This window comes from Homo sapiens, chromosome 9 (assembly GCF_000001405.40).
Source record: "Homo sapiens chromosome 9, GRCh38.p14 Primary Assembly".
Classification (NCBI taxonomy): Eukaryota; Metazoa; Chordata; class Mammalia; order Primates; family Hominidae; genus Homo; species Homo sapiens.
This window is the reverse complement of record NC_000009.12, coordinates 131,309,643-131,331,538: the sequence shown is the minus strand read 5'-3', so window position 1 is coordinate 131,331,538 and position 21,896 is coordinate 131,309,643. Positions and strand designations below refer to the sequence as shown.

Sequence of the window (21,896 nt, the reverse complement as noted above, 5' to 3'; positions counted from 1 at the left end):
CAGCGCAGAAGGCCAGCAGGGCCCTTATCAGTCAGCCCCACATGTGTCTGAGAGCCCACAGCAGGCAGCCCATTCTATGCCAAGCCCCTCACGAGCCCCGTTATCAAGGGACACATTCCAGCCAGGCCTCCCTTGTAAGGAGGGGAAGAGAAAGCCTGCCGCTTTCCGGCCAAGTGGGGAGGGGGCGCAGGGGCAGGAAGAGGATTATCACAGCAGGAAGGCCAGATGCTGGACTTGTTTCTTCAGGCAGCTTGAGAAAACACCACTGGGCTGGCTTGGCCGCCCTCAGGCCTAGAATGTGACCCTTCTCAGGAGGGGACCCCCTCCCTGCACTGCTGGGGTGAGGGTAGGTGGGGACAGGGACAACTGGTTCTTAGGAAGCCAAGAGAGCTCGTGTTTGCTCCCAGGAGCCTGGATGTGGCTGGTGAAGGTGGCTGGGGGTTTAGCCAGAGGCTGGAGGATTCTTCTGGGGAGGGTCTCAAAGCACCTTCCCCCGTGTGGCCTGCTCTCCCCAGGCTCAGCCAGCACCTGCCACGGGGGAGGACTCCAGCTGGTGAAAGAATAAACGAGCCAGAATGCAGGCCTGAAGGCTCAGGCTTTCTTTTTTTTTTTTGAGATGGAATCTCGCTCGTCACCAGGCTGGAGTGAAGTGGTGTGATCTCGGCTCACTGCAACCTCCGCCTCCCGGGTTCAAGCGATTCTCCTGCCTCAGCCTTCCGAGTAGCTGGGACTACAGGCGCGCACCACCATGCTTGGCTAATTTTTGTATTTTTAGTAGAGACAGGGTTTCACCATGTTGGCCAGGATGGTCTCGATCTCCTGACCTCGTGATCCACCCGCCTCGGCCTCCCAAAGTGCTGAGATTACAGGTGTGAGCCACTACTCAGCCTGGGTTTTCTTATTTTGTAGAAAATCCATTTCCCTCGTGCAATACTTGATGAGTCAGGCTTGATAGTGGGTGGTTGAGGATTTGGAGACACAAATCAGGTGGCTGGGTTGGATGTTGGAAAAGTCAGTAAGCTTTGCTGAGTCTCAATTTTCTCATCCTTAATGATAGATATTGGAAGCTCTTTCTTCATGTGGCAGTGTGTGTCAAGGGCTTAGTATAGAGCTGGCCCTGGTGGGTACTGCTGAAACTCTCTCTGTGGGCCACATACACGCACACGCACACACACACACAGTCACACTCACACATACACACACTTAGCACTAATTAAACAGCAGGTGGCCAGGCATGGTGCCTCATGCCTGTAATCCCAGCACTTTGGGAGGCCGAGGTGGGCGGATTGCTTGAGCTCAGGAGTTCGAGACCTTCCCTGAAAACCCCATCTCTACCAAAAATACAAAAAATTAGCCAGGCACGGTGGCGCATGTCTGTGGTCCCAGCTACTCTGGAGGCTGAGGTTGGAGGATCACTTGAGCTCAGGAGATGGAGGTTGCAGTGAGCCGAGATTGCATCATTGCACTCCAGCCTGGGTGACACAGTGAGACCCTATCTCAATAAATAAGTAAATGAATAAACAGCAGGCATAGCCAGTCTCTTTACATGGATAAGCACACTCAATCCTCATCAGCACTCTGAGAACAAGATACAGTTGTTATTCCCATGGTACAGATGAAGAAACCGAGGCTTAGATGAATGAAATCACTTGTCTAGGGTCACACCAGCCTAAGCAGAAGAACAGGGTTGGATCCCAGGCTGTTTGACCTCAACATGTGCATTCTTGGTGCCACATTTTCATGCCTTCAAATGGATTCATGAACCACTCATGGCCAAGGCAAGATGCAAAGAGCAGCCTGTGCCATGCCCTCCAAGGTCCCCCTGATCACAGAGGAGCTTGCCAGACCCTGTGTAGACTCCACTTCCCTTTGCACAAACCCTCGAGCCTGGAGCCTTGTCTTTCCAGCCGTTGGTAAACCAGAAGCAGCAGACGGGGAAGGTGGTGCCGGCTCAGCCCAGCGAGGCACGCAGAGGCCACAGCACCACATACTTCTGAGGGTCTGGGAGCAAGGCTGGTGCAGGGAGGCTTTTGAGGGGGACCGGGAGGACTCTAGAAACAAAGCCAGCCACGCCCCTCAGCTTGGGGGGAAACAGCTCCCGACACATCACCAGCCCCTAAGGTGTCACAGCAGAGTCACCCAACAGTGAGAAGCCTGGGAAACAGCGGAGGGGCACCGGCTTTGAGTTGCACATGAGTGGCTCAGATTTCAGTGCTTCAGGGGCCTCAGCTTTTGAGTCATGACTGTGGGAGCCCTGAGGGACACACCTGCTCCCTCCACCTGACCCGGGATGAGCATATTTTTTGAAGCATTGTTGGTCTTACGGAAAGGAGAGTTCATGGAAACGGCCCCCTCCCCAATTCAAACAGGAGATAAATCAAGAAATGTGAGCCGCTCCACAGTGGCTGAAGAAGAAAGCGTGGGTGGTCAGGTGCTGGGCACAGAGGTGGGATCTGGGCCCAGGGCAGTGGCCAACCAAAGGTCCTGAGAGGAGGAAACTGGTCTGGCCTGGCAGGTATCAGTGGGCTGGGAGGTCAGAGGCCAGGTTCCCACAGCAACACCGCCACAGGCGTGGTGGGCATGGTGGCGTGCGTCTGTGATCCCAGCTACTCAAGAGGCTGAGGTGGGAGAATCACCTGAGCCCCAGAAGTCGAGGCTGCAGTGAGCTGAGATTGTGCCACTGCACTCCAGCCTGGGTGACAGAGCGAGACCCTGTCTCAAAACAAAAACCAAAAAACTGGCTGGGTACTGTGGCTCACGCCTGTAATCCCAGCACTTTGGGAGGCTGAGGCAGGTGAACTGCTTGAGCTGACGAGTTTGAGACCAGCCTGGGCAACATGGCAAAATGCCGTCTCTACAAAAATTGCAAAAATTAGCTGGGTGTGGTGGTGCATGCCTGTAGTCCCAGCTACGTGGGAGGCAAGACGGGAGGATTGCTTGAGCCCAGGAGGCAGAAATTGCAGTGAGCTGTGTCATGCCACTGCACTCCAGCCTAAGTGACAGAACTAGACCTTGTCTCAAAACAAAAACCAAAAAACTGGTTGGGCATGGGGGCTCATGCCTGTAATCCCAGCACTTTGGGAGGCTGAGGCGGGTGAATTGCTTGAGCTCACAAGTTCGAGACCAGCCTGGGCAACATGGCAAAACGCTGTCTCTACAAAAATTGCAAAAGTTAGCTGGGTGTGGTGGCGCATGCCTGTAGTCCCAGCTACGCGGGAGGCAAGATGGGAGGATTGCTTGAGCCCAGGAGGCAGAAGTTGTAGTGAGCTGTGTCACGCCACTGCACTCCAGCCTGAGTGGCAGAACTAGACCCTGTCTCAAACAAAACAAAACAAACAAAAAACCCAAAAATTAGCCAGGCATGGTGGTGCATGCCTGTCGTCCCAGGCACAGAGGGGACTGAAGTGGGAGGTGGAGGCTGCAGTGAGCTGTGATTGCACCATCGCACTCCAGCCTGGGTGGCAGACTGAGACCCTGTCTGTAAATCAATAAGTAAGAGATTCAGAGACTGGGTAGGAAAAAAAAATTCCAGATTGATGAAGCTTAAAAGAGATCTGCACACACACAAAAAGAGAGCTCACCAAAAATTTAAGGATCCAAAAAGGTTAAAAATAATTTTCAGAGACATAGTTTCACCATGTTGCCCAGGCTGCTCTCCAACTCCTGAGTTTAAGTGATCTGCCCGTTTAACCTCCCAAAATGCTGGGATTACAGGCGTGAGTTACCACGCCTAGCCTATCTATCTATCTATCTATCTATCTATCTATCTATCTATTATATATATATATAAAAAGATATAAAGATATATTTTGATATGAGGCAAAGTTGTCTTATACTTTAAAAGCATTATCAATAATAGAAAGGGTGGGGCCAGGCATGGTGGTTCACACCAAGTAATCCCAGCACTTTGGGATGCTGAGGTGGGAGGTCTGCTTGAGGCCAGGAGTTTGAGACCAGCCTGGGCAACACAGTGAAACTCCTGTCTCTAAAAAAATGAAAAAAAAAAAATTAGCCTGGAATGGTGGCATGCTCGTGTAACCCTAGCTACCTGGGAGGCTGAAGTGGGAGGAACATTTGAGTCAAGGAGTTTGAGGCTGCAGTGGGCTGTGATGGTGCAACTGCACTCCAGCCTGGGTGACAGAGCAAGACTCCGTCTCAAAAAAAAAAAAAAAGAAAAGTCTATCAGTGTTACTTATCGTATTAACTGATGAAAGGAGGAAAAACTACAGGATCATTTTAATAGATGCTGAGGAAGTATTTTTAGAAGTTCACATAAATTTGTGATTAAGCCTCTTGGCAAGTCGGAAATGGGAGGATAAACATTAGCAGCATTCCTTCTGAGACTGGAAACAAGAATGTTCTGTTTGCTATTATCACTTCTGTTCAACAGAGTATTGGAGCTTCCACTCTAACATTAAGACTAGAAAAAATAAATTCGAAACATAAGGATTGGGAAAGAGAAAATAAAACACATTATTTTCAGATACTACCAGCTATATGGAACCCCAGAGGGAGAGTTTGGCAAGATACCTAGATATAAGAAAAATATACAAAAACTAATTTCATTTCTGTATACCAGGAAGAAACAATTGGAAAATATCCTTGAAAAAAAAAGGATAATGTTCACAAGAGTATGAAAATTATAATAAGTACCTAAGAATAAGTATAATGAAACGTAGGCAAGAATTAGGCAGGCAATTATACCTCCACCTCCTGGGTTCAAGCAATTCTCTGCCTCAGCCTCCTGAGTAGCTGGGATTACAGACGCCTGCCACCACGGCTGGCTAATTTTTTTGTATTTTTAGTAGAGACGAGGTTTCACCATCTTGACCAGGCTGGTCTTGAACTCCTGACCTCGTGATCCACCCACCTCGGCCTCCCAAAGTGCTGGGATTACAGGCATGAGCCACCACGCCCGGCCGAGATAACCCATTCTTAAGGACAGGAAAGCCTGATATTACAGAGATGTCAGTTCTTCATAAACTGATCTAGAGACTCAATGTAGCTTCTCGGGAGGCTGAGGTCAGGGGATTGCTTGAGCCCAGGAGTTTGAGATTGCAGTGAACTAGGATCGTGTCACTGCACTCCAGCAGGGGTGACAGGGGGAGACCTCATCTCTTAAAAAAAAAAAGCACAAAAAACCATCTTTTTTTTTTTTTTTTTTGAGACGGAGTCTCACTCTGTTGCCCAGGCTGGAGTGCAGTGGCGCAATCTCGGCTCACTGCAAGCTCCGCCTCCCGGGTTCACGCCATTCTCCTGCCTCAGCCTCCCGAGTAGCTGGGACTACAGGCGCCCGCCACCACACCCAGCTAATTTTTTGTATTTTTAGTAGAGACGGGGTTTCACCTTGGTCTTGATCTCCTGACCTCATGATCCACCCACCTCGGCCTCCCAAAGTGCTGGGATTACAGGCGTGAGCCAAAAAAACCATCTTAAAAGCAAACACCTAAAGCAGCATGGCTCATTAATGAGAGTTGTGATGACCCAAAGATTATGATTAATCCACTTCTGGACCTCTGTGGTCTCTTAGCAAGAATTGCAGCTCAGCCACCTCCTGACTCTGCTTAGCGAGCCGAGATGATAACAGCCCACTTGGAGAGTTCGGGGAAGTGTCAACAATGGCCTAGTGGGCTCCCATCAGTGGGAGCTATTCTTACTGTGCTTTGTGCAGGGACTTGAAGCCAGAATGCAAGGGGCCACTGGGCTTTCCCCTTTCCTGGGTGTGGAGTGGGGAACAGCCCGTTACCCCATGAGCCCTCTGAGTCCCACCCTGGTTAAAGCTCATACACTTCATTTCCACAGCCATTTGCAGAGAGCAACCCACCTGCACTCAGCTGTGCTGGTTACAAGTAACCGAAGCCCAGCTCCAACTCTGCAGCCAAAAAGGGAAAGGACTCACCCACTTGAGATGTCCAAGGCTTGAGTCCAGGGATTGAGACGCTGGTCTAGTTGGTTCCTCCCATTTCAGAGAGACCGAAAACCGAAGCTCAGAGAGGTCAAGAGAATTGCCCAAAGTCACACAGACGCCAGTGGGAGGCTGATGCCCCAGCTGGCTCTGCTGACTCCAAAGCCTGGGTTTGGGTTCATCTGCAGGAGGAAACACAGCTGAGTCAAAAGCCCAGTGACTCGGTGGCAGCGCATGTCTTCCAGGAACAGAACAAACACAAGCCCATATCTGCAGGCGAGCCTTGCCTCGGCCTCCACAGCGCGGGTGGTAGAGTCAGGCGCCCCAGGCCCCTGAAAACCAGGACGCAGTCCCGTGGCCCGTCTCTCCCAAGAAACAGAATCCTAGCCGGACCCCGTGCCTGCTGGGCGTGGAGTGGAATGTTGCAGCTGCTTGGGTTTGGGGCAGGAAGGAAGGGGAGATGGAACAAGGTTGAGGGTCTCCGTTCCCCCTGGAGTGCATGGAGGCTTCCTCCTTCTCCCCTTTGAGATCTCAACACAACCCCCCACGTAGATTTTGAATGTGATCATTGAAGAGTGAGGGGCTGCTGATCCCTCCCGTGAGAGACCTGACCTGGCCCCTCTTGGCAAAGCTATCCAGGAACCAGGTCAGAGGCAGAAGGACCTTTGCCCTACAAACTACCCCATCCTTTCCCGGACTCAGAGCCTTGGGCTATACCTGGATGGATTCCCTTGGCCTTTCCACCTGAGGGGCCTGGAGGTTAGGTTGATTCTTGTTTTTTGTTTTTTTGAGACAGAGTCTTGCTCTGTCACCCAGGCTGGAGTGCAGTGGTGCATTCATGGCTCACTGCAGCCTCAACTTCCTGGGTTCAAGCAATCCTCCTACCTCAGCCTCCTGAGTAGCTGGGACTGTAGGTGCATGCCGCCATGCTGGGCTATGTTTTGATTTTTAGTAGAAATGGGGTCTTGCCATGTTGCTCATGCTGGGGTGCAGTGGCACCATCATGGCTGACTGCAGCTGCATGATCTTGCTATGAGTCTAATTATATTTCCCAGGCTGGTCTTGAACTCCTGGACTCAAGGGACCCTCCGGCTTTGGCCCCCTAAAGTGCTGGGATCATAGGTGTGAGCTGGCTTACCTGGCCCAGGATTGATTCTTTTTTTTTTTTTTTTTGAGACGGAGTCTCGCTCTGTTGCCCAGGCTGGAGTACAGTGGTAGGATCACGGCTCACTGCAAGCTTCGCCTCCCGGGTTCATGCCATTCTCCTGCCTCAGCCTCCCGAGTAGCTGGGACTACAGGCACCCGCCACCACGCCCGGCTAATTTTTTTGTACTTTTAGTAGAGACGGGGTTTCACCGTGTTAGCCAGGATGATCTCGATCTCCTGACCTCGTGATCCACCCTCCTCAGCCTCCCAAAGTGCGGGGATTACAGGCATGAGGCACCGTGCCCGGCTCCAGGATCGATTCTTAACTTTGGCTGTACTGAAATCACCTGGGAAGCTTGGAAAACAATCCCCGTGAGGAGCCCACGCCCCACACCAATTACACCCAAACCTCTTCAGGTGGGACCTGAGCTTCTGTATTTAAAAAAAATAATTAAAGCCTTTGCTGTATTCTACGCATCCTGAGAGGGGCCACCTGCTTCCAGGGACCTTCTGTGCAGCATCAGGGTCCCACTATCTACATGGCAGCTGCTGACCGGCACAGGTGTGGGGCTCTGCACACCTCAGATCCCTGACAAAGGAAGGGCGGACTGTGGGGCTGGGCATGCGCAGGGAACACATCAGATGGTGAACAAGCTGAGAGGAGTGTTTCGTTTCCCAGGGCTGTCATAATACAATCCCATAGACTGTGTGGCTCACACAACAGAAATTTTATTTTCTCACAGCTCTGGAGGTTGGAAGTCCAAGATCAAAGTTCAGCAGGTTTGGTTTCACCTGAGGCCTCTCTCCGTGGCTTGCAGATGGCTGCCTTCTCGCCGTGTCCTCACAAGCCATTTCCCCTGTGCTTGTGCATCCCTGGTGTCTCTTTGTGTGACCAAGTTTCCTCTACTTAGAAGGACACCAGTCAGATTGGATCAGGGCCCACCCTGACAGCCTCGTTTTAACGTCATAAACTCCTTAAAGGCCCTGTCTCTGGCTGGGTGCGGTAGCTCACGCCTGTAATCCCAGCACTTTGTGAGGCTGAGGCAGGCGGATCACTGGAGGTCAGGAGTTCGAGACCAGCCTGGACAACATAGTGAAACCCCGTCTCTACTAAAAATACAAAAATTAGCCAGGCGTGGTGGCAGGTGCCTGTAATCCCAGCTACTCGGGAGGCTGAGGCAGGAGAATCGCTTGAACCTGGGAGGTGGATGTTGCAGTGAGCCGAGATCATGCCACTGCACTTCAGCCTGGGTGTCAAGAGCAAAACTCTATGTCAAAAAAAAAAGAAAAAAAGTTAATAAGGAGTGTTGGCAACGATGTGGAGAAACTGGAGCTGTTGTACTTTGTTGATGGGAATGGAAAATGGTGCAGCTGCTATGGAAAACAGTTCAAGGTCCCTCAAAATGTGACACATAGAGTTACCACAGGAACCAGCGATTCCGCTCCCAGGTATACACCAAGAGAACCCAAAACAGGCACTCAACAATGCTTGTACCTCAATGACCACAACAACTGTGTTCACAATAGCCAAAAGGTGCAAACCACACTTAATGCCCATCAACCGATGACTGGGTAATAGCATTATCAATACAGTGGAATATTATTGAGCTATAAAAAGGAATGAAGCACTGATTGATCCGTGCACTCCCATGGATGAATCTTGAAAACATTACACGAAGGGAAAGAAGCCAGACACAAAAGGTCACATATTGTCTGATTCCATTTACATGAAGTATCTAGAAGAGGCAAATCCATAGAGACAGAAAGCAGATTAGGGCCTGGGGGAGGCGGGATGGGGTTTCCTTTTGAGGCGATGAAAATATTTTGGAACGAAGTAGAGGTGGTAGTTGCACAGCACTGTAAATGTACTAATACCACTGAATCATACACTCTCAAATAGTTCATTGGGCTGGGCGCAGTGGCTCACGCCTGTAATCCCTGCACTTTGGGAGGCCAAGGCAGGCAGGTCACCTGAGGTCAGGAGTTGACCAGCCTGACCAACATGGTGAAGCCTCGTCTCTACTGAAAATACAAAATTAGCCGGTCATGGTGTTGCACACCTGTAATCCCAGCTACTCGGGAGGCTGAGGAAGGAGAATCGCTTGAACTTGGGAGGCAGAGGTTGCAGTGAGCCGAGATTGTGCCATTGCACTCTGGCCTGGGCAATAGAGTGAGACTGTCTCAAATAAATAAATAAAATTAAAAAAATAGTTTATTGTATCATGTTAGTGCAAAAGTATTTGCAGTTTTAGCCACTGAAAGTAATGGCAAAACCTGCAATTACTTTTGCACCAACCTAACCTATTTTTTTTTTCTTGAGATGGAGTTTCGCTCTTGTTGCCCAGGCTGGAGTGCAGTGGTGCCATCTTGGCTCACTGCAACCTCTGCCTCCCGTGCTCAAGAGATTCTCCTGACTCAGCCTTCCAAGTAGCTGGGATTACAGGCACCTGCCACTACACCCAGCTAATTTTTTTGTATTTGTAGTAGAGACGGGGTTTCACCATGTTGGCCAAGCTGGTCTCGAACTCCTGGCCTCAGGTGATCCACCGGCCTTGGCCTCCCAAAGTGCTGGGATTACAGGCGTGAGCCACTGTGCCCGGCTGCACCAACCTAATATTTTTATGTGAATTTTACCTCAATTTAAACAAAACAAAACCAGGAGCAATGTAAAAAAAAAAAGCAATGACTTCCATACCAGGGACCACTGTGAGGCTGTGACAAGTCGAGATATAGGTGTTTTGTTTTTTGAGACAGGGTCTCACTTTGTCACCTAGGCTGGAATGCAGTGGGTGGCATGATCTTGGCTCACTGCAACCTCCACCTCCCAGGTTCAAGCTATCCTCCCACCTCAGCCTCCTGAATAGCTAGGATTATAGGCTTACACCACAACACACAGATAATTTTTCTATTTTTAGTAGAGACAGGGTTTCGCCATGTTGGCCAGGCTAGTCTTGAACTCTTAGGCTTAAGCTATCTGCCTCGACCTCCCAAAGTGCTGGAATTACAGGTGTGAGCCACCGCACCCGGCTGGTGTTTAGTTTTTGTTTTTTTTTTTTTTTTGAGACAGGGTCTCAGTCTGTCACCCAGGCTGGAGTTCAGTGGCTCGATCTTTGCTCACTGCAACCTTTGCCTCCTGTGTTCAAGTGATTCTCCCACCTCAGCCTCCCGAGTAGCTGGGATTATAGGTGTGTGCCACCACGCCCAGCTAATTTTTTGTATTTTTTGGTAGAGATGAGGTTTTGCCATGTTGGCCAGGCTGGTGTCGAACTCCTGACCTCAAGTGATCTGCCTGCCTGGGCCTCCCAAAGTGCTGGGATTACAGGCATGAGCCACTGCACCCAGCTGGTGTTTACTTTTTGATGCAGAAACTTGTTCACAATATGTTAGTAAGTGAAAAAGAAGTAGGTCACAAACTATAGAATATAATTGCTTTTTTTTCCTCCAAAATATGTCTACATTTTTACAAACGTGTCGAAAAACATCCGAAAGGAATAACTAAAATATTTTTGCTTTTGTTTTCCTTGTATGTTCTAATTTTTTTTTTTTTTTTTTGAGACCGAGTCTCGGCTCTGTTGCCCAGGCTAGAGTGCAGTGGCACGATCTCGGCTCACTGTAAGCTCTGCCTCCCGGGTTCACGCCATTCTCCTGCCTCAGCCTCCCGAGTAGCTGGGAGGCGCCCGCCACCACGCCGGGCTAATTTTTTTGTATTTTTTAGTAGAGATGGGATTTCACGGTGTTAGCCAGGATGGCCTTGATCTCCTGACCTCGTGATCCGCCCACCTCGGCCTCCCAAAGTGCTGGGATTACAGGCGTGAGCCACCGCGCCCGGCCCCTAATTTTTTAAATCATAAAAAAGCATTCTTGTGTAACCAAAACACATACTAATCAGGGAAATAGATGATTGCTTAACGAAATTCACCCTGTTCCCTGTGAGGCCCTTAAGAGACTCATCGCGCATCTGCCGGCCCAGGGCTCAGCATCAGAATTCTTCTTTCCTAAGGGGAGGCGCGGGAGTGGAGAGGACAGGAGGGCCCAGGTCTCACCCAGGTCTCATGGCTGGGGCAGGGCTGTGTCCTGCCTTCTGTGACTCCCTCTCTCCCAGCTAAGGTCCCCTGAGGACCTTGTTCCTTGCCCTTCCCGCTGAAGGATTTGAGTGGAGGAAGCAGCTTTCACAGCATCCTTGTCCTGTCCTGACCTGTCTCCCACCAGCAGAAGCAGCTCCGGATGGAGAAGAGGCCAAGCCGGCCCCTGGGGGCTGAGATTGCATCCCTCACCCGAGCTGGACACCCCTCCTGGAGGCCAGGCCCCAGGCCTCGGCTCACGGGTGGGGCCCCAGGGTTCCCAGAGCTCCCGCTGCTGCCAGACTTCACAGCTGTGCTGCTGGCGAGAAAAACTTTTTTTTTTTTTTTTTTGAGATGGAGTTTTGCTCTTGTTGCCCAGGCTGGAGTGCAGTGGCGCGATCTTGGCTCACTGCAACCTCGGCCTCCCGGGTTCAAGCGATTCTCTTGCCTCAGCCTCCTGAATAGCTGGGATTATAGGCATTAGCCACCACGCTGGCTAATTTTTGTCTTTTTAGTGGAGGTTGGGTTTCACCATGTTGGTCAGGCTAGTCTCAAACTCCCGACCTCAGGTGCTCTGCCTGCTTCAGCCTCCCAAAGTGCTGGGATTATAGGTGTGAGCCACCGCGCCCGGCTGACAGAAACTTTGTTCGCATCCCAGCAAACCAAGGCTCTCCTGTTGGAAGCTGGCCCCTCCCCACCAAGGGCCAGGTTATTAAATGCGGCAAATGGGGCCCCGGGGCTGCGCTGCGGCCAGGAGAGCATCTGTGGATTTAATTATCAGACAAAGAGAAGGGCTTGGACATTCTTCTGGCAAAACAGCATGTCCTGGGCTGGGCCCCGGGGACCCTGATGGCTTCATGAGTTTTCGTGTGTGAGCATGTTATACATCCATGTTAGATTGTTGGATAAAATATAGGACACTCCGTGAAACTGAATTTCAGATAAATAGTATTTTAGTATACATATGTCCCAAATAATGCATCCTGCATATTGATTTGCTAAATCTGGCAGAATACATGTAAATTTGTGCATTCAAGAGAACATGCAGGCATGTGAGTGTGTACAGCAGTGCAAGAACACACATATGTGTAAGCATCTGTGCACGGCCGGCCGCAGTGGCCCACGCCTGTAATCCCAGCACTTTAGGAGGCTGAGGCAGGCAGATCAGCTGAGGTCAGGAGTTCGAGACCAGCCTGGCCAACATGGTGAAACCCCGTCTCTACTAAAAATACAAAAATTAGCTGGGTGTGGTGGCGCATGCCTGTAATCCCAGCTACTTGGGAGGCTGAGGCATGAGAATCACTTGAACCTGGGAGGCGGAGGTTGCAGTGAGCCAAGATCTGCACCACTGCACTACAGGCTGGGTGACAGAGCAAGAACCTGTCTCAAAAAAAAAGTATTTGTGCGTGAATGTAGGTAAAGCTAAGCGTGTACATATACACATGGATGTGTGTGTACCAGAACACATGGATGTGTGTGTACCAGGAGGGTCAGGGAAGGGAATGGCAGGAGCTAGAAAAACCCAGGAACTCCCAGACCTACTGCCATCTGTCTCCAGGAAGAAATGGGACAACTGGCCCTGGCTTTTGGCCCATGGCGAAAGGTGCATTTTATATCTAGGTGCATGTATAAATGTGACTGTGTGCAAATATGGACACATGTGTTCTCATGTTTGCATCTACGTGTATGCATGCATGAAGTTTAGATATGGAAATACCTGTGGATATGTACGGAGGGACTATTGAAGGACTGTTGTAGCTGGAGGGATGCTTGGAGATCTCACGTACATAATTTTACATATGAGGAGACGGAGGCCAGCGGCTGAGACTGCGTGTGTGAGTGATTGTGCGCTCGGGCTCAGGGGAGCAGCAGGGCTTTCTGAGCATCATCTCGCCCCCTGACTGCCCCGTGATTATCACGCTTATTTCACACGTGAGGAAAAGTCAGGTGGGACGAGGCCAGGGCACCAGCCTGTGAGGGGCCGCCTGGGCCACGTGGGGTCACATATGGCTTACATAAACGCCATGGGCCAAAGCTGGTGCCAGATGTTCTGTTTCTTCCTGGAGCCAGATGGCGGCGGATGTGGGAGTTGGTGGATTTTTCTAGCTCCTGCCATCCCCTTCCCTGACCCTCCCGGATTTTCCCCAGGCAGGGAAGGGCTGGGGACTCGGGGAGCTTTGTCCTGGTGAGAATTGCCTTGGCCTGGGAAGCTGCTTCCTTTGGGCAGGGCCTCAGGAAGCCATGATGGGGTCTGTGCCAATGCATCTCCTCTAGGGTGGACTCCTCGCACAGTGCTCTTCCTATAGGGCCCAGAAGCAGAGCAGCCAGGCCAGTGGCATAATGTAGGCCATGCCCCGGGGCAGTCTCTGCACTGTGGATCTGTCCCCAGGTTTGGCTGGGGGTTTGGTTTTTAGTAGAGATGAGGTCTCACTATGTTCTCAAACTCCTGGGCTCAAGTGATCCTCCCACCTTGGCCCCCTAAAGTGCTAGGATTATAGGTGTGAGCCACTGCATTTGGGCGCCGTGAAAAGCTTTGAGAAGGCTAATGGAAAAGCAAGGGAGAGCCCTGGGCACACAGCCCCCTCGAGGAGGCAGGTAGGGCCCCACCTCACGGTGTGGGTCACAGAGCTTTACTCCCTGCATTTCCAGCCATGTGGGTTTGGGGGCCATCCACCCATCAGATACTGGTTAGGAAGGTGATCAGGGCTCAGTGCAAGGGAATACTATAGGTGAGGATGGAAACTACAGGGAGAGAGGTCCATGACATCTTAGCATGTGGAAGAGCAGATTAGCAAACAGTATGGAGAAGTTCCCTATTCAGAATGTGTGTGTGTACATGCATAAGAATTTGGATTGGGGGGCCGGGTGCAGTGGCTCATGCCTGTAATTTCAGCACTTTGGGAGGCCAAGGCAGGAGGATCACTTGAGGTCAGGAGTTCGAGACCAGTCTGGCTAACATGGTGAAACCCCGTCTCTACTAAAAATACAAAAAATTAGCTGGGCATGGTGGCAGGTGCTACAGGAGAATCACTTGAACCTGGGAGGCAGAGATTGCACCACTGCATTCCAGCCTGGGCGACAGAGATTGAGCTGAGATTGCGCCACTGCATTCCAGCCTGGGCGACAGGGCAAGATTCCATCTCAAAAAAAAAAAAAAAAAAAAAAGAATTTGGATTGGGCCAGGCGAGGTGGCTCACACTTACAATCTTAGCATTTTGGGAGGCCAAGGCGGGAGAATTGCTTAAGCCCAGGAGTTGAAGACCAGCGTGAGCAACAGAGCTAGACCTTATCTCTACAAAAAATTTTTTAAAATTAGGCTGGGTGTGGTGGCTCATGCCTGTAATCCCAGCACTTTGGGAGACTGAGGCTGGCGGATCGCCTGAGGCTGGGAGTTCCAGACCAGCCTGGCCAGCATGGTGAAACCCTGTCTCTAATAAAAATACAAAAATTAGCCGGGCGTGGTGGCAGGCGCCTGTAATCCCAGCTACTTGGGAAGCTGAGGCAGGAGAATCGCTTGAACCTGGAAGGCGTAGGTTGTGGTGAGCCGAGATCGCGCCCTTGCACTCCAGCCTGGGCAACAGAGCGAGACTCTGTCTCAAAAAAAAAAAGAAGAAGAAGAAGAAGAAATTGACTTCTCACAGTTCTGGAGGCTGGAAAGTCCAGGATCAAGGTGCCCACAGATTTGGCGTCTGGTGAGGGTCCGCTCTCAGGTTCATACATGGGGCCTCCTCACTGCATCCTCACCTGGGGGAAGGGGAAGGGGTCTCTCTGGAGCCTCTTTTTTTTTTAGATGGAGACTTGCTTTGTCACCCAGGCTGGAGTGCAATGGTGCTATCTCGGCTCACTGCAACCTCCATCTCCTGGCTTCAAGCAACTCTCCTCCCTCAGCCTCCTGAGTAGTTGGGATTACAGGCATGCCCCACCCTGCCCAGGGCTGATTTTTGTATTTTCAGTAGTGACAGGGTTTTGCCATGTTGGCCAGGCTGGTCTTGAATTCCTGACCTCAAGTGATCCGCCTACCTCAGCCTCCCAAAGCGTTGGGATTACCGGCGTGAGCCACAACGCCCGGCATCCGGAGCCTTTTTTGTAAGGGCACTAATCCCGTCGTGTGGGCCCACCCTCATGACCTAATGACCCCAAACGCCCACCTCTTCATACCCTCGTGTTTTGGTTGGGATTTCAATGTACAGACTGTGGGGGGCACAGACTGCAGCGGCTGCCTCTCCATACGCTGGCGCAGAGCATCGACGCATCTTACAGATGAGGAAACTGCCCAGAGCCAGCCCTTGTGCCGCTGCCTCCCTGAGACTTTTTGGATGGGGCGGGTGGGAGCCGCACACAGGATGAGTGGACGCTGAGCTCTGTGGCCCTCCCACCCAGAGCTGCATCTCTGTCCCTCCGTCCTCTCTTCCCAGAATCCTCCTGACCAGAGCAGCAGAGAGCGGATCTGTTTGCAGCCTGCCTGTCCCCGCCCTGCCCTCACCTCGCCCTCTTTGACCTTGAGACGGATTCCTCGAGCCAACGTCTCTTTCCTGGAGCTGGATGGGGACAAACCCGGGGTCCCTCCCTCTCTTAGGAGTTGAACCACAGTGACCAGGAGCCCAAGAGCGCCGAAGCCCTGTAGTTGCTATGGAGATGGGAGCGGGTTTGCAGAGGGAGCTGTGTGATTAGGTGGCATTTGCGTCTGTAGAAGGAGGCAACGCAACACCCTCGCCACCCCTGAGAGGTGCTTATACCTTGGACACTCTTATGAGAGCTTCCCAGAAAAGCCAGGCTCACAGGGGCAGGAACGGAGATTCCTCCACACACCTCCACCCTGTCCCTGCCACCAAACACCCAGGTACCCAGGCAAACCGTGGCCAGGGGACAGGTGCCATCATGACATGGGTGAGCTGCCTGCCTGGAGGTTCTCCAAGTCCCTCCTGCTGCCCACCTGTCCAAGCCCCAGAGTGTCCCTAAATGCCCAGGGAACGCTCAGGGTCCTTTCCAGGGGGCAGTGGCCTAAGAGGCTCATTCTCCAGCAACCCTCTGCGCCGGGCTGGGTGGTCCCATTGCCCTGTCTCCAGCCCTCACAACTGTGCAAGCCAAGTATCAGCCCCATTTCACAGACGGAGAAGCTGAAGCTCAGAAGGGTCAGCAACCTGTCAGGGCCGGAATCTGAACCCAGGTCTGCCCGACTCCCATTTATGTGCTCTTTCCCTCACACGACCCAGCCCAGCCCAGCTCCAGCCTGGCCCCCTCAGCCTACCCTGGGCTTCCAGCCAGTGACCTTCCCAAAGCACAGAGCTGAGGCTTAGAGAGAGATGTGGCTGGACATGCAGAGAGTGAAGCCCTGTGGCCCACAGCTGGAGGTGGGACCCTGCCTGCCACCTCAAGGGGGCTGTGTGTTCTGGGTTGTGTGCTCAAGGCTCTCCCTTGCTTCTCCCCACTACTCCACGAGCTGGCCTTTCTGCTTGAAAAGAGACCCCCAGCCTGGAGCGGGCTCATGCCTGTAATCCCAGCACTTTGGGAGGACAAGACAGGCAGATTACTTGAGGTCAGGAGTTCAAGACCAGCCTGGCCCACATGGTGAAACCCGGTCTCTACTAAAGATACAAAAATTAGCTGGACGTGGTGGCACACGCAGGTAGTCCCAGCTACTCGGGAGGCTATGGCAGGAGAATCCCTTAAACCTGGGAGGCGGAGGTCGTAGTGAGCCAAGATCGTACCATTGCACTCTAGCCTGGGTGACAGAGCGAGACTCTGTCTCAAAAAAACCAAAAAACAAAAAAGCGGAGGTTAGGCACAGTGGTTTGTGCCTGTAATCTCAGCACTTTGGGAGGTGGAGGCGGGCGGATCACATGAGGTCAGGAGTTTGAGACCAGCCTGGCCAACGTGGAGAAACCCCATTTCTACTAAAAATACAAAAAATTAGGCCGGGCGCGGTAGCCCTCACACCTAATCCCAGGTGTGAGGTGGGCGGATCACGGGGTCAGGAGATCGAGACCATCCTGGCTAATATGGTGAAACCCCGGCCGGGCGCGGTGGCTCACGCCTGTAATCCCAGCACTTTGGGAGGCCGAGGCGGGTGGTTCACGAGGTCAGGAGATCGAGACCATCCCGGCTAAAACGGTGAAACCCCATCTCTACTAAAAATACAAAAAATTAGCCGGGCGTAGTGGCGGGCGCCTGTAGTCCCAGCTACTTGGGAGGCTGAGGCAAGAGAATGGCGTGAACCCGGGAGGCGGAGCTTGCAGTGAGCCGAGATCCCGCCACTGCACTCCAGCCTGGGCGACAGAGCGAGACTCCGTCTCAAAAAAAAAAAAAAAAAATGGTGAAACCCCGTCTCTACTAAAAATACAAAAAAATTAGCCAGGTGTGGTGGTGGGCACCTGTAGTCCCAGCTACACGGGAGGCTGAGGCAGGAGAATGGAGAGAACCCGGGAGGCAGAGCTTGCAGTGAGCCGAGATCTCGCCACTGCACTCCAGCCTGGGCAACAGAACGAGACTCTGTCTCAAGGGAAAAAAAAATTAGCCGGGCATGGTGGCACCGTCTGTAGTCTCAGCTACTTGGGAAACTGAGGTAGGAGAATAGCTTGAACCTGGGAAGTAGAGATTCCAGTGAGTCGAGGTTGTACCACTGCACTCCAGCCTGGGCGACAGAGTGAGACTCTGTCTCAAAAAAGAAAAAAAAAAAGTAAAGAGACCCCCCCCTGACAGACCCTGCTCAACACGCTGTGCTGCGGGTGTCCACCCTCCAGACCCAGACTCCTTGGCCAGATCAGAACTGAGGACAAGCCATGCATTTCCGCAGTTTGCCACGCTCCTTAGACCTTCACGGCTCTTGCTTGGGGGCGAAATGACACATTGAAAACCACCCTTTCCATTTTCCATAGTCATGATCCCTGCAGGCTGTCTCCAGGCTCCCGTTCTTCTGTATTCTGGGAAGTGGTTATGTTGGCCATGACAGCTGGGGTGGCGAGGAGGTGATGCCGGGTGGGTGGGGTGGGAAGGAAGAAACCAGGTGGTGGAAGGGCATGGGGCAAAATCAGGGTTAGCGCCAGGCTCCAGGGATCCCAGCTGGTGCAGAGAAGGCCGGAATCCATAGGGCTGGGTCTGTCTGATGACAGGAGAGGGTGTGGGTGGGAACAAGCAGGGGTGGAGGAGGTGTCACCTTTGTATAGACCTCTCGGGGTCACGTAAGGACGGAGCAGGCCCCATTCCTGCCACACCCAACTTGCAGCCCAGGGTGAGGCCCACAGAGTCTGGCCAAAGACTGCCGGAGGCAGCACAGGCAGCCGCCTGGCGCGGTGGGGTTTGGTTCTGTTTAAAAAATAGAAAAACAAGTCACCCCCATCCCGCCTCCCTGTGCCTGTCGCTTCGCCAGTTCAGCCTCATTCCGAGGTTGGCGGGTGCCCTGCGTTTCTGTCTTCCGGAGGGCTTCTCTGCGCTGGGGCCACTCAGGCCTGGTTTCTGATCCTGGCTCCACCACATCCAAGCTGGGCAACCTTAGGGAAATGGGTTTCCCTCTCTGAGCCTCAGTTTCCTCATCTGTAAAATAGGGATAAGGTCATCACAATGACACATATGGAAGACGTATGGCCAGGCCCGTGGGAGGTGTGAGCCCCGCTCTTCACTCCTCCCCTCAAATCATGGCTGAGAACAGAATGTCAATTCTAAGAAGAGGGTGCTTTGCAAGAGGCTGGAACTAGAGGGAGAGCAGAGATCTGGGATCTGAGGGCTGGAGAAGGAGATGATACCAATTTTACACAGATTCTTTCAGAAGTGTAGAAGAGGCCAGCCTGCCCCTGGTAACCAAATCAAGAAACAGACACCAGCATCCCTCATGGACATTGATGCCAGAATCCAGAACACATTCGTTGTTCAATCCAACCCAGCCATATTTAGAAGGGAAATGCGCCAGGGCCACGTGGGGTGTGTCTCAGATATGCAGAAGCGGCTGCCATTCAAAAATCATGTATAATTCACCATAAAAAAATGGAATGGGCATGTCAATCACCAGGCGCGGTGGCTCACGTCTGCAGTCCTAGCACTTTGGGAGGCCAAGGCAGGAGGATTGCTTGAGGCTAGGAGACCAGCTTGGACAAAATAGTGAGATCTCATCCCTACAAAAATAAAAATAGGCTGGGCGTGGTGGCTCACACCTGTAATCCCAACACTTTGAGAGGCTGAGGCGGGTGGATCACCTGAAGTCAGGAGTTCCAGACCAGCCTGGTCAACATGGCAAAACCTGTCTCTACTAAAAATACAAAAAAAATTAGCTGGGCGTGGTGGTGCTTGTAGTCCCATCTATTCGGGAGGCTGAGGCATAAGAATCGATTGAACCTTGGTGGCGGAGGTTGCAGTGAGCTGAGATCACACCACTGCACTCCAGCCTGGGTGACAGAGTGAGACTCTATCTCAATTTTAAAAAAAAGTAAAAAAATAAAAATATTAGCCGGTGTGGTGGTGCATGCCTTTAGCTACTTGGGAGGCTGAGGCGGGAGGATTGTTTGAGCCCAGGAGTTTGAGACTGCAGTGAGGTGTGATCGTGCCCCTGCACTGCAGTCTGGGTAACAGAGCGAGACTCCAACTCTTCTTCTTCTTTTTTTTTTTTTTTTTTTCTGAGACGGAGTCTCGCTCTGTCACCCAGGCTGGAGTGCAGTGGCTCAATCTCAGCTCACTGCAACCTCCGCCTCCTGGTTCAAGTGATTCTCCTGCCTCAGCCTCCCAAGTAGCTGGGACTACAGGCATGCACCACCATGTCTGGCTAATTTTTGTATTTTTAGTAGAGATGGGGTTTCTCCATGTTGGCCAGGCTAGTCTCGAACTCCTGACCTTAGGTAATCCACCCACCTTGGACCCCCAAAGTGCTGGGATTACAGGCGTGAGCCACTATGCCTGGCCAAGAGACCTCAACTCTTGAAAAAACAAAAACAAAACAAAACAGTTATTGGCTTTACTCAACAAAGTGCATTACCCATGCCTGAGCAGGTACACACCATCTCTCTTGTTCCATGATGTGCACTGGAAGCTGTCAACCAATGCAAAATGGCATCGACCTCCCCACCCAGGCTCTGTCCAGCAACAAGGCAGGATGGCAAGTCCTGAAGGAGTCACAGCCTCTTCCCTGTCATCTGGGATCTGAGGTTGGCAGCTCCTCCCATGGCCCTTGGGTCTTCATGGAAAGGGGATGCAGAGTGATGGTTCTAGAGACACGTCGGTGTCTGAGAGTGATGAAGTCCAGGGAAAGCCTGGAAGAGTCAGATCCCGGGTCTGCTTTGTGCTAACGGCCATGTCAGCACATCGTGTCCCAGTTCCTTCCTTGCCACCAGGGGCAACAACGCCAGGAGCCCTGTGACCAACACTGAGCATGACCTGTGATGTGTCAGGTTTGCAGGTGGAGGGCACCCCGAGTCACACATCAACCCCACGGGGCCCCTGTCATCCCCGTTTGACAGACAACGACACCAACGCTCTGGGACGGGACGTCAGCACCGGCAGGAAGTGCTGGCATTGTCCTGAGCCAGCACCGGCTGCCGCTGCCATCACACAGGATGTGGCTCCCAGGCAGCACGCCGACTGCCTTCTGGGAGCCTCTCCCCTTCACGGTGCGCCAGGTGCTCTTGGGGCTCCACCGTCCCCTCCAAGCTTTAGAGGATTTGCCCAGAGCCCTCCATCCTTCAGCAACCCTTCCTTATCCTAAAGACTCCAGAGACCACCCAGCTAGGAGGGGAAGATGTGTTCCTCCCCCAAAAGTGTCCTGTGGGTTACGGACTGAATTGGGTTCTCCCAGAAAGAGATGCTGAAGCTCTAATTCCCAGTGTCTATGGATGTGATCTTCTTTGGAAACAGGGTCTTTGTAGATGTGACTAAGATGTGGGGGCTGGGCACAGTGGCTCACGCCTGTAATCCCAGCACTTTAGGAGGCTGAGGTGAAAGGATCACCTGAGGTCAGGAGTTCGAGACCAGCCTGGCCAACATGATGAAACCTCATCTCTACTAAAAATACAAAAAAGTTAGCCGGGCATGGTGGCACATGCCTGTAATCCCAGCTACTCAGGAGGCTGAGGCAGGAGAATCCCTTGAACCCAGGAGGCGGATGTTGCAGTGAGCCAAGATTGCGCCACTGCACTCCAGCCTGGACAACAAGAGCAAAACTCCATCTCAAAAAAAAAAAAAAAAAAAAGATGTGAGTTAAGATGAAGTTATACTAGAGTAGGATGGACTGTAAGCCAGTATAACTGTTATTCTTATAGGAAGGGGATCACAGACAGTGACAGGAAGACAGACGCAGACACAGGGAGAAGGCCACGTGGAAACAGAGGCAGAGAGTGGCGGGATGCGGCCGAGAACAAGGCAAACTGGCTCCCACCTCACTGTGCTGCCTCCTGGCTGGGCAACCTTGGGCAAGTCTCAGGCCTCAATTTTCCCATCTATGGAATGGGCATGTCGATCACCTCACATCAGAGGGCTATTGAGAGCTGCAGACGAGCGCTCACACTCAAAGTGTGGTTCGGGGAGCTCCGGGTGTCCCCAAGCCTCCTGCCGATCTGTGATAGGACCTGGGGGCTCTTGCCTCCTGGCCCTCACCCCTTTCCTCCCTCTGCCTAGAACATTCTTCCCCTCCTTCCTGGCTCCCTCCACCCATTCCCTCCATCTGGGCTCAGACTTCCCCCTTCTGGGACCTATGCGCTGATGCCCCAAGGCTGGGCTCCAGGGCCTTTTCTCTGAGCCCTCACTGCCCTGCACATCCCTCGCGGCAGCTCTCTTAGGCTTGGCTGTGTTTCACTGGTCACTTGCCT

General features: G+C 52.2%; 1 long non-coding RNA gene across 1 annotated transcript in view, besides 3 other annotated features; it reads right to left on the bottom strand.

Moving 5' to 3' along the window:
* Nucleotides 1-6,669, bottom strand: part of LOC105376299 (uncharacterized) — a 34,154-nt gene extending 27,485 nt beyond the window's left edge. Inside the window, exon 1 of the long non-coding RNA XR_001746959.3 lies at nt 5,900-6,669. This is a non-coding gene — a long non-coding RNA (uncharacterized LOC105376299). The remainder of the gene's footprint in view (nt 1-5,899) is intronic.
* Nucleotides 458-1,412: an enhancer, noted in NCBI's record as "H3K27ac-H3K4me1 hESC enhancer chr9:134205514-134206468 (GRCh37/hg19 assembly coordinates)". NCBI's record gives its function as "activates a minimal SCP1, AML or CMV promoter by ChIP-STARR-seq in naive H9 embryonic stem cells {active_cell/tissue: H9 hESC(naive)}" and the evidence as "EXISTENCE:reporter gene assay evidence [ECO:0000049][PMID:30033119]".
* Nucleotides 9,105-9,641: a silencer, noted in NCBI's record as "fragment chr9:134197285-134197821 (GRCh37/hg19 assembly coordinates)". NCBI's record gives its function as "represses an EF-1alpha promoter that drives an FKBP-Casp9 reporter gene in an ReSE screen in K562 erythroleukemia cells {active_cell/tissue: K562}" and the evidence as "EXISTENCE:reporter gene assay evidence [ECO:0000049][PMID:32094911]".
* Nucleotides 20,486-20,565: a silencer, noted in NCBI's record as "silent region_20412". NCBI's record gives its function as "represses an Ori minimal core promoter by ATAC-STARR-seq in GM12878 lymphoblastoid cells {active_cell/tissue: GM12878}" and the evidence as "EXISTENCE:reporter gene assay evidence [ECO:0000049][PMID:35858748]".